The sequence below is a fragment of the Homo sapiens genome, chromosome 14 (genome assembly GCF_000001405.40).
Source record: "Homo sapiens chromosome 14, GRCh38.p14 Primary Assembly".
NCBI classification, from domain to species: Eukaryota; Metazoa; Chordata; class Mammalia; order Primates; family Hominidae; genus Homo; species Homo sapiens.
In genome coordinates this window covers 104,334,410-104,346,416 of record NC_000014.9, presented here as the reverse complement: position 1 = coordinate 104,346,416, position 12,007 = coordinate 104,334,410, and the positions used below count along the sequence as shown (strand labels likewise).

Sequence of the window (12,007 nt, the reverse complement as noted above, 5' to 3'; positions counted from 1 at the left end):
GGAGCCAAGCGTGGCCCAGATGACTCACACTGGAGCCTGTCCTCAGCAACTCGGTCAGGTGGGTGCGTTCCTGCCCTGGAGGGGAGATCCGAGGACAGGGCGGTGCACGGTGCCTTGAGGGTGGGGCGGGTGTGCCGCCTTCACTGCCGGTCTCTCTCATTCCCCATCTCCAACATTCTCGCAATGCCCTCCAGTGAAGTCGGATCCAATGTCTTGCACGCCTCCCACGGTGCCGGGTGCCCCCCGTTTTGTGAACTTGCTTTTTCAGTTTGGAGCCTGTGAGCCCCACACTTTGCCTCCGTCTGGCACAGAGTGAGTCTCAGAGTTGGCTAAACTGGCTTAGGATCCAATCCTCCCACAAATTAGGGTAGGGGAGCGGGGTTGTCAAGAGGGCCTGGAGGGAAGGAGGCAGCCCTGGACCCTGGATGGGCAGCCCCAGCAGGGGCACATGCAGTGGGGGTAGGGGACCCTACAGGGTCTGCCATTGCACCTCAAGAGAGGAGAGGGGCACCAGGCTCATGAAGCCACAGATGGACACCCAGCTCAGTGACCGCTGGCCTGCTCACCTTCCTTCTCTTCTCTCCAAGGCCCTCCCTCCTTTCTCTTTTTGTCCTACTCTTTCATCTAGAGCTTGCCCCCTTGGTCACGATGATCCATTGGGGCCTCCTCTAGCAGGGAGGCAATGCTTCTCTGCACTGGTGCTCATTCCAGGGGGTTCCACCGGCACTCCTCACCCTCCCTGGCCCTAAGCTCCATGCACACTGGACCTTGCCCTTGGGTGCCCTCTTTGGAAAGGACCCTGGATGGCACCATCCCTCCATGTGGGCAGGTCACAGATATCTTTCTGTTGCCTTCATGTCTGGGTCATGCCTCTCCCTGGAGGCTCAGGGCTGGGATTCAGCCTCATGCTGGCTTCAGGCAGGTGCAGCTTGGACTTCCCCCAGCAGGTGCTTGCACTGCTGGTGGCACTGTGAGCTGGTGGCACGTGAGCAGCACATAGCTTCTAGGATGCAATTTGCAACACATGGCGAGAGCAATAGCAAGGGCTCCTCTATCAGGTAATTGCAATTCATGGGAACTTATCCTGAGAAAATTGCTCCCCCGATTGGAAAAATTTTGCCACTAAGGCGCCCCTCTCCATGGTGTCTGGAGGAGTGATGTGTTGACAGCCTGAGTGTGCAATGTGCAGAAGAGTCTGGGAAGGCACCCATCAGGCAGTCGATAGCACTTGGGCAGCGCTAGTGAAAAATCAGAAGATCTAATGGAAACGTGGGCAACTGGTATCCAAAAGGAGGGAAGCCAGCAGGACACAGAAGCCATTTGTCCTGCAAGTGCAGCGATGATAAATGTGCTGTGTGGACATTGCCTCGAAGGGGATGTACAACCAATTCATTCGTTTGTTTACTCAACAAATATTTATTGAGCACCTCCTACATGCCAGACACTATTCTTTATGCTAAAGATTTGGCAGGAAAAGAAATGCAGACAAATCTTTCTGTTTGCATGGAGCTTGCATCGCAGGGGAAAGAGCAGAAAGCTTACTCACAAATGAATAGATCATGCTGGGTGATGATCAGTGATACAAAGGAAGGACAAGGAAGATTTTCCTTGGTAGGGTGAAAGGCCGAGAGAGATGGAGGCACAGAGGTATGGTGGGGAAGAGAGACCTTCCCACGAAGGTGGCATCCAAGTTGACTCCAACTAATGAGGAAGAGTGCGGGCTGGTGTTCTCACCATCGTTGTTTGAGGTCCTGGGCTGATGCCTCCCTCGGGAGTGTGCTCACCTCATGGCCCCAGACTGAGGCTTCTGTCTGGGCACCTGCCCAGGCACCTTGTGTCTGCACATCTGGTGCCAGCTGCCTCTGCAGCCAGAATCGGGGCTCTGTGCACATGGGACATCTGCATGGGAGCCCAACGCAGGCTTGTAGAAGTGACTTCAGAGTCACTCCAGTCTAGTAGGACAGGGAGGGATCCTGCAGGAACCTGGAGTTGGAGGAGGCTGGAAGAGTCTGCAGAGGTTGGGGGTGGGAGACTGGAGCTTGGCAGGTGCAATACAGATCTGTGGGCAGGAGCTGGAAGGTGCCAGATCTGTGCAGGGGAGAGGAAAAAGGCCTGACTTCAGCCCAGGGTCCTCCAGGGACTCACAGAGGGTGCAGCCTGACAGAGGAGGCCTCTGGGAACTGGAGGGTGAGGGTGACCCTGCCCTGATGTGCCACCTGGAGTCGATGGAGGTGTGGGCAGGCACGGCTGAGCACCACCCTGCAGGACAGTTACTCAGAGGACTATGGGGCTGGCGCCTGCCTCCCCAGGGATGTGAGCCTGGAGCTCCCCAAGTGTCTCCAGCCCCTGTTGTGGCATCTGGCACTGAGCACATGCTCCAGAAGTATGTGTGGAATGTGCGCCTGCTCCTAGGCTGCTCACAGGATCCCTTGTCAGCATGGCCCTGGGTCCAGGGCGCTGGGCTGGGGGTCCCCAGGAGAAGGGGTGTGGCAGAGATGGGAGAAAGCAGAACATCTCACGGGGAAGCAGACCGCATGCATTTGCTGGGCTTCTTCCTTCCCCTCACACCCCCAGCGCCCCCCTCAGCCACCCAACACACTGTCTCTGAGAGGCACAAAGGCTGACCTGCAGCACCAGCTCATACCACAGACAGGGAACCCAGGCTCAGAGAGGGCAGGCCATCACCCGAGGTCACACAGAAAACCCACAGTGGCAGCCCCTTCTCCTCGTCTCTCCTTCAACTCCCTGAGGCTCTTCCAGGCTCTGCTGATTTCTCTGGAAAGTGGGTGTCAGGATGGTGTTAAACTCAGCAGTGGTGGGGGCCAGAATGAGAGGATTCAGGAAGGGGTTAAGCCCTCTGTTCTCTCCCTACATCAGCCGCAGAGCTCTGCACTCAGTGCAAACAACCCAGACCCACAAGGACAGGAGGTGTGGGTGCCGGGACTCCTGGCAGGTTGTCTGGCAATTCGGGCAGTGAGTCCTCGGAGGGACAGAGGGCCTCCAGCTGGAGGGTTGGTCTTGCTGGTCTGGGTGCCAATGACTGCTGTGGCCTTCCCACGCCAGGGACCTCCGGCCTCCCCAGCTTCCACTCACCTCTCCTGGGCCCTGCAGACAGGAGCAGGAGGGGCAGCCGCAGCCCATTGGTGAGTCAATGGGCCTTGCCTGGGCCACTCACCCCAACTCCCCACCTCGTTAGGCAGCCAGTGAGCAGCCAGCCTGTCGGCCCAGCAAATTGGCACAAACAGCCTTATTACCTGACTAATTAGAGCCCAGAGGCCCGGCCAGCGCCCCCTGCCCACCTCCTCTGCAATCAGTCCCAGTGAGTAACTGCTTGAACAAGTGCTTTGAAGGCAAATCTGTGGTGTCCCCCGGAGCCATTTCCCAGGTGTATTTCAAACCGGCCGCCATCCTTCCTCTAGGAGGCCTCACGCCTGCCCTGCCCCTCCTCCCTGGGCCAAGCAAAAGGTCCAAGCCCAGGACCCCATGGGTTTCTTCAAATAGATTCAGCACAGACTGGGTGGACAGCGCCAGGCCCGGTGATCAACTCAGCCAGGGCTCAGATCTGTGACATGGGGGTCACCATGCAGGGCTTCCTTACAGGGCTGGGCAGGTAGGAGCACGCATTTCAGGCACCTGGCACCCAGCACATCGTCAAAGGGGCAGGTGAGGGGACAGCCTACTTAGTGGTCTGAGGAGTTAGAGGGTCAGAGCGTGGAGCTCGGGGAGGCAGGATTGCACGCACCCACACGGAGCTCGGCTTTCTCATCAAGGATGTGAACACAGTGCCTGCTCCCCTCAGCCTCTGCAGCAGCAAGACACAGGAACATTGCCCTGAGCCATCTGGGCCCCTAGGGACCCGGACGGGCCTTTGTAAACTTGACTTTCCCTGACCTGAATTTCAGATCCCCTCGGCTCTGACAGTGTCCAATAAATAACTCCACCCTGCATGAGCGATAGCAAACCCCAGAATGGCTTTAATTTTGCAGGGTGATAAATTAAATGCAATGTCTGCCTCGTGTGCGCGATTAAACTCTTTTTACAGCGTTTTCATGTTGCTTTATGACTGGACCACTGCACCTCTTGAAATTCTTGGCAGAGTCCGCTGCAGTCAGGCAGCTCCTCCAGGCCAGTGCAGGTCACATGGGTGGTGAGTCCCGCCCCTCCCCGCCCCGCCCCGCCCCGCCCCTTACTGGATGCGTCCTTGGGAACCGCAGGTGGTGCCAGCTGGGTCCAGGGCGGTGAACTGGGGCCCGGAGTGCTCCTCCAGCCTGCAGGTGGCGCTGCAGGCGATCTCCATAAGCGCGGAGGGCAATTCACCGGCTCCGGACCTGAGTTCTCCATTTCGGCATTCCACGTTTGGAATTCCATACTTTGCCTCTGACCTTTATTTTCCTCTTCCTTTCTGACCTTCATGTGAATTAGACATTTTTTATTCCTGATTTTTCCTTCTGTACCGGGTTGGAGGTTGTGTGTACTATTCACATTGTCTCAGTAGTTGCTGTGGTCTGAATCCTTGCATCCCCCCAATATTCATATGTTGAAGCCTAACCCCCATGCAATAGTATCAAGAGGTGATGAGGCCTTTGGGAGGTGATTAGTGCCCTTGCAGAAGGGGCTGGAGGGAGCTTGTTTCCGGCTTCTGCGTTATGAGAACACAGGGAGAAGTCATCATCTGTGAGAAACCGGCGCACCAGTCACTGAATTTGCTGACACCTCCATCTTGGACTTCCCAGGCCCTAGAACTGTAAGCAATAAATATCTGCTGTTTATAAATTGCCTGGTCTGAGGTATTTTGATATAGTAGCCTGCATGCACTAAGGCAGTTGTTACTCATAATTTTAATAGGCTTTTTTACAAAGTCAAAAGTTAACCAAAGGGCCAGTCCAGTTTCAGTAAAGCAAAGAAATAAATGCATGAGGAAAGAAAAGAGAAAATGTGATCATGGTCTGCAGATAATATGATTGTTTAAGTAGAAGGGAAAAAAACTAATACTAATTAGAATGAAGATAGTTAGCAAGTTTGCTGGGCACAAAATCAATACCCCAATCCAACTGCATTTCAATACAATCACAATCTATACAAACCGATTTCTATACCAACCATGGTCTTAAAATATAAATTTTAAAATGTCATTTACCCTAGCAATTAAAAATATTGAATACCTAAGAATAAAACCAACAACAGATGTGCAAACACGTTATGGGAAAAATAATGAAAGCTTTATTCAAAGACATTAAAGAAGGTGTAAGTAAAAGGAGAGATGTATCATATATTTTATAAAGAAACATACTATGTACTTCATCACCATGTCAGTTTTCCCCAAATTGACCTAAAGATTTAACACACTTAAACAAAAATCACAAGAGGTTTTTTCATGTAAGAGCAAAGGACTAAGATTAGCCAAGATGCTCTTGAAGAAGAAAGCAAGCTGGGACCTATGCAACACAGCAGGACTTAGCACAGAGCTGAAGTCATTAAACTGTATGGTATGGGTGCAGATATGGACAAAAAGACCAACAGAAGATTACTGAGAACACAGAAAAATATATACTAATGGAAACTTGAAGTATAACTGACAGAATAAACAGTGCAGATCAGTGTAGAAAGGATGTTTTTTGATAAGATGCTGGGAAACTTGCTCTCCATACATTTTTTAAGTAGAGAAAATGAATCCCTACCTCACATCATACTCAGAAATAAATCCCAAATGATCAAAGATTTAAACATGAAAGGCATAACTAAAAAGACTGTTGAAGAGGGAAGGGCTTCTCAAGACACAAAAAGAGCAAAGCGTGAAGGGAAAGCTGTAACAAAAGGCAATTTTATTAAAATTAAGAAATTCAATTCAGCAAAAGAAACCATTTAAAAAGTGAAAACGAAGGCTGAGGACAGTGACTCACACCTATAATCCCAACACTTTGGGAGCCTGAGGTGGGAGGACTGCTTGAACCTGGGGATTCAAGACAAGCTTGGGCAACATAGCAAGACCCCTTCTCTACAAAAAGCAATAACAACAACAAAAAGTGAAAAGACAAGTCACAGGCTACGAGAAAGTATCTGCAACACATCTAACTGACCAACAGAATACAAAAAATATGAAGAGCTTTTACAAATCGATAAGAGAAGGCAAAAATCCCCGTGGGAAGAAATGGACAAAAAATTTGAACTAGCATTTCACAGAAGAGGAAATACACAGATTCATAAACATTTGGAAGTAAGTTCAACCTCTTCAGTAATCAAAGAAATGCCTTTGTTTGTTTGTTTGTTTTTGTTTTGGTTGAGATGGGGTCTATCTGTCATCCAGGCTGGAGTGCAGGGGCACAATCATAGCTCACCACAGCCTCAATCCCCCAGGCTCAAGCAATTGTCCTGCCCCAGCCTCCCAAGAAGCTGGGATTACAGACATGCACTGCCACTCACTGCTAATTTTCAAAAAGTTTTGTAGAGACAGGGTCTCACTATGCTGCCCAGGCTGGTCTTGAACTCTTGAGCTCAAGTGATCCTCCTGCCTTGGCCTCCCAAAGTGCTGGGATTACAAGCTTGAGCCACTGTGCCTACTCAGAAATGCCTTTTGAAAATCCTCTAGGGAATTCTGATTGTGATCATAGACTGAACATATGCATCTCACTTTCTCTCCACACTCCTACTAAAACTATAATGAGAGGTTTTTTAATGACATAAACTCTTAGGGATGAGAAGAACACAACAGGAAGAGGGGAAGTGTACTTTATGACAGACTAAATCATAAACAACTAACAGTAAACAGTAAAACACAACAAAATTTTGGAAGCTGGAAAGCAGATAGACAAGTGCTAACTGCCTTAGCAGACTTGAGAAAGACAACTCCTGAGCCAGCAAGGGAAAAACTGTGAATAAGTCTGATTTGCTCCCAAGAATATTTAAAATCTCAGGAACTGGCAGCAGCAGGTGTCTCTAGGACTGACGATGAAGGGGGAGTGGCAGAGCCAGGACTAGGATGAGGCTAACAAGATGCCAGAGCACAACACTTAAGGAGCAACATCCTTAGCCATTAGAGAAGTGCAAATTCAGACCATGATGAGATACCACTACATACCAGTTGAACACCTAAAATGAATAGTGATAATACCAAATGCTGGGGAGGATGTGGAGAAACTGGAGATCACTCATACATTGCTGGTGAGAATTTAAGGTAGTACAACCACCTGGAAAACAGTCTGGCAATTTCTTATGAAACCAAACGTACTCTTACCCTATGACCCAGCAATTACACTCTTGGTCGTTTACCCTAAAAAATAAAAATTTATATTCACATGCAAAATCTGTACACTGTTGTTCATAGCAGCTTTATTTGTAATAGCCAAAACCTAGAAACAACCAAAATTTCCTGTAATAGGTGCATGGTTGAACAAATTGCTGTACATCTATGCTATGGAGTATTAGCAATAAGAAGGAGCACTGTTGATGCATGCAGTAACTCAGATGGCTCTCAAGGGAATTGTGCTGGGAGGGGGGACAATCTCAAAAGGTCACATGCTTTACAACTTCATTTATACAACATTCTCAAAATGACAAAATTATAGAGATTGAAAAAAGATTAGTGGTTGCTAGTTTTCTCTAGAAAATAGGAGAAAAGTGAAAGGACTATCCAGTATGGTGGTGAGGGAAGATCCAGGCATACAGGGCAACCAGTCTAGATCAGAGCAGATTTTTCAGGACACCAGAATATTGAAGGTTGTCAGGGCTGATGAACCATCTTTTCACATCATTTACCCACAAAATGGTTCATGCCAAACAAGGGAGCAAACCAAGAAAGGAAGACATGAATGAGATCCAGGAAACAGGGACCCCCACCTGGGAGAAAAGCATCAGCAGAGGCAAGTCCCGGGACGAAGTGTGCAGCCAGCCCAGATGAGAGGAGAAAAAGATCTTCAGGCAGAGGGTTTACAGGAATATGTGATGTGGAAAAGTGCACAAAAAGGACATTTGAAGATGTGGGAAGAATTAGTAATAGGTTAGAAAAAAAAAAAGTAAGCAAATCAAAAAGCAAGGCAATGAATAACTTTAGGAAACACAGAAAGTAAAAAAGGAAACATAATTGGAGTATACTATAATGTTAGGCTGAGCTATGAATGTTATATAGACAATGTAAAGGTACAAACTTTACTTAAGCAAAAATTGTAGTATAACTATACTGGAAGAGAAGAAAGGAGAGCACAGGAGCTAGCAGAATGCAAGGGCTAAATTCTCATCACTGTAACAGGAAATTTTAAAAATTATATTCTAAATGAATTAATAAAAAGGCAGCAATATATACACAATATTTAGAAAAATGCAGATGTGTAAATGCCAGAACAAAAAAATTTTAAGTCAATCATGGTTAATTCTAGAGGTGACACTGGCAGGATCAGGGAAGAGAAGATCAGTGAACATACCATTTAGTACTGTGTGAGTTTTGTTGTTTCAGCTATATACATGCTCAATAATAGACAATTGGATTAGATAGGATTGGACTGGATTTAAATTGTATTTATCTATTAAGTCAAAATAAAATAATATGATATCATTTTACTACAACCAAATTTGCACAAATTAAGAAGCAGATCAATTCTAGGTACTGGAAAGGATGAGTGGGCAATAGGATGTCTCAGCCACAGCTGTCAGAGCTACACTTACTTTGGAAAACAGTTTCTCACACCTAGTAGAGGTGACTTGCACATAACTAAAAAGCCAGCAACTCCTCACCGGGTGCCATCTCTAGAGGACCCCAAACCTTTTCCAACTCCTGGCAGAAAACAGCAGTACTTATATGACACAATGGAGTAAATGGGCGAGGCTGCTCCAGGCTGCAAGGCCAGACAGAAAGTCCAGGGTCCAAGCTGCTCCAGCCCTGCTGGCTGCTCAGACAGAGTGGGGCCCCATTGCTTAAACATGCCTGCACCCCAATCACAGCATTCCAGCAGGCTCACCCAGAGAAAGGCTCATGCACACGCACCTGGAGATGTATACCAGGATGTTTATAGCAGCACTGTGATTGTAAAAAGCCTGCAGACAACATAAATGTCCATCAGCGATAGAACTGATCAACAAATTGTGACATATTCACACAACGGAGTACCCAACAGCAATAAAGACTAATGAACTGCACCATAAACATTCAAATGGATAGTCCTCATGCATATAGTATTGAATGAAAGACCAAGACACAAACGTTATATATGAAGAAGGTTCTATTTACATAAGGTCTAAAAGCAGCTCAAACAAGACAATATGTTATTTAGGATCACAGATATAAATGGCAAAAACGATCAAGGAAAACAAGGGAAAGATGAACACAAATTCAAGTTCGCATTACCCGGGAACACTGGGGATTGAAGAAGAGAGTATGATTAGGGAGGAGCATTCCGTGGGCTGTTGAGGCTCCGGGAGGATTTTATCCAAGTGGTGGCTACAGAGGAGTTTACATGATTATTAATCTTCTTTTTCTTCTTTAAACCATATACATACATTTTATACTCTTATATATGCCATATAAAATGTTAATAAAATTAAAATGATTAGCAAGAAAATAAGCAAAATGCAATAGTTAATACTGTAATCCTCTTACTCTCCTCTCCAACCATACAGGATCTGAGAATACTTTCACTCCCAACACTGACCTCCTATCTATATGTAATTATTATCAAGCATTTTATTTCTACCTTGTTCTTTTTAGTCAGACATTACCACCATGGCTTCATATTGTCAATGTTTACTGAAGTGTACCCACATGTCTCACCTTTCTTTGCTTGCTATTCTTTCTTTTGCTTTAGAACATCCTCCTAGATCATTTTCCCTCTTCCTAAAGTAGGGATTATTGTTAACAAATTCTTCCCACTTTTAGCTGAAAATATCCTTATTCATTCCAGGTCTTAAAAATATTTTTTTTCTCAGGCATGTGACTGTAGGTCATGCATAGATTACCAGTTGCCCCCAATATCTGCGGTCCCCTTCTTCAGTAATAGAACACACAATTTTCACTGGGCAGGTGTCTTCCAGGAATAAAGGCTACATTGCCCAGCCCTGTTTGCAGTGCGGTCTGCCATGTGACTAAGATCTGGCGATGGAAAGGAAACCTCAGGAATAAAGGCCATGCATGGTGGAGCAACAGGACAGAAGCAGCCACGGCTCCTGATGCCAAGTTCACAACAGCAGCCCTGGACCTGCCCCCTTCCAGCTTCAGAAACACACAGACAAACACACAGACAAATACACTTCTATCATGTTGAAGTCATGATTATTGGGGAGCTTTCTATTCTATCCAGCAGAACCTAATTCTAATTAGATATAGGAGTGAGAGGCAGCAGAAAATCCTCTGAAAACAAATACAGAAGCTTCCAGCCCATTACTTGCCCCCTTGGCTGGGTGCTCTGTGCTCACTGGTTAATCTTCACAGAAGCCCTGTGAGGAGCACACATGTCCCCTGTTTATCAGAACAAGAAACCGAGTCCCACAGACGGTGCGTGGCTTGCTTGGCATTGCACACAGTGTGCCTTGGGCTCCATGTGGCTGGTGCTCTCTGCTCCTCTCCAAACGGATCCCTTTCTTCCAGGGCCCAGGGCCCAGGGTCCCGCAGAAGACAGTGGGCAGACAGTCTCAGGCCATCGACAGGATGCTGGCAGACGTGTGAGGGAACATCTCCCCCACCCTGGCGTCTGGGAATGGAAGCTGCCAAAGACCCAGCACTAGGCTGGGCTCTGGTCTCAGGACCCCCAGACTAAGTCGCTGTGTGACCCCAGACAAAGCTCTCCACTTCGCAGGGACCCGCTTCCTCCACCTGCGAATACCCATCCTCCGTTCCTCCACATGGTCCACCAGGCCCAAGGCATGTGACCACTGTGAGCTGGCAGCAGAAGAGACCTGGGGGCTGGGCTGGGCTGGGGAGGGAGGGCAGTTTGGTGCGGGGTTGAGAGAAGAGGGAGGGGCTGGGATGCTTTCTCCTTCAGGCTGTGTCTGCTTGTGGCTGCCTGTCCCCACAGGCTGGGCCTCCCCACTGGGCCTCCCCACTGGGCCTCCCCACTCCCCAGTCTCCACTGGGCTGCAGGGACAGGGAGTGGGCACGGCCATTTCTGAGGGCCACTCCTGCTCCTGTGCGTCCTGGTTTGGGCTAGGCTCTATGCCAGGCACAAGAAGAGAAAAGGATGTGGAGAAAAGGAGTATGAGTTGTGGGCAAGAGCCTGAGACTGGGTGTGGTACCCGGGCCCTAGGTAAGCACTCCACATAGCGGGGCCCAGGTGAGCACATCACACTTGTTGACTGCCCAGAAGGGCCCACAATGGTGCACACGACACAGCGGGATGAGGTCACAGAGGCTCGGCTCAGGCTGAGGGCAGGGAGGGTGCCGAGGGCCGAGGGAGCCACCTGACAGGGGTGGGGGTGAGGGCAAACTCCTGTGGCAGGAGGGGCCACAGGATAGCAGGTGCAGGGGTGTGTGCGGAGGGCTGTGGGCGGAACTGGGAGGAGACTGCCCCAGGCCGAGAGGAGGGATGAAATGGGGGAGACCGAGTCACCCTCCCTGGAACAGCCATCCCAATGCCAGGAAGTGGGGCAGAGGCCGGCCTGGTGCCCAGAGCCCAGGGCCTACGTCCCACCACCCTGCCGGGGTCTGTTGCGAGGCCCCTTCTACAGTGCCCGGGCTCCACGAGTGTCTTGCAGCTTTTGTTCCAGGATTTATTTTTTCATCAGATTGATATTAGAGTCACTTCACGCAGTGCTCTCCAGCGTCAGCAAAATAAAGATGCAAATACACCTCCTGACCCGGCTCCTGGGGCCGCCGGTGACGCACGCCTCCCGCCACGCTCGCCGCCCATGGTGGCTTTGAATTTTAAATTTCATTTTCCCATCGCTTTTCAATAACTGCTTTTCCCAGCGATGTCTCGAGTCTTGACCTTATAATGCCCGAGTTAAAAGGCAGTGTCTTGTTTCCAGCTGCAGATAATTTACTTCTGAATGGTCCAATTACACGGCAGCCTGGGCTCTGCCTGGCTGC

At 48.9% G+C, this 12,007-nt stretch overlaps 2 annotated features.

Annotated features, from left to right (window-relative positions):
- Window positions 3,618-4,231: an enhancer, noted in NCBI's record as "H3K4me1 hESC enhancer chr14:104808523-104809136 (GRCh37/hg19 assembly coordinates)". NCBI's record gives its function as "activates a minimal SCP1, AML or CMV promoter by ChIP-STARR-seq in primed H9 embryonic stem cells {active_cell/tissue: H9 hESC(primed)}" and the evidence as "EXISTENCE:reporter gene assay evidence [ECO:0000049][PMID:30033119]".
- Window positions 10,888-11,389: an enhancer, noted in NCBI's record as "H3K4me1 hESC enhancer chr14:104801365-104801866 (GRCh37/hg19 assembly coordinates)". NCBI's record gives its function as "activates a minimal SCP1, AML or CMV promoter by ChIP-STARR-seq in naive H9 embryonic stem cells {active_cell/tissue: H9 hESC(naive)}" and the evidence as "EXISTENCE:reporter gene assay evidence [ECO:0000049][PMID:30033119]".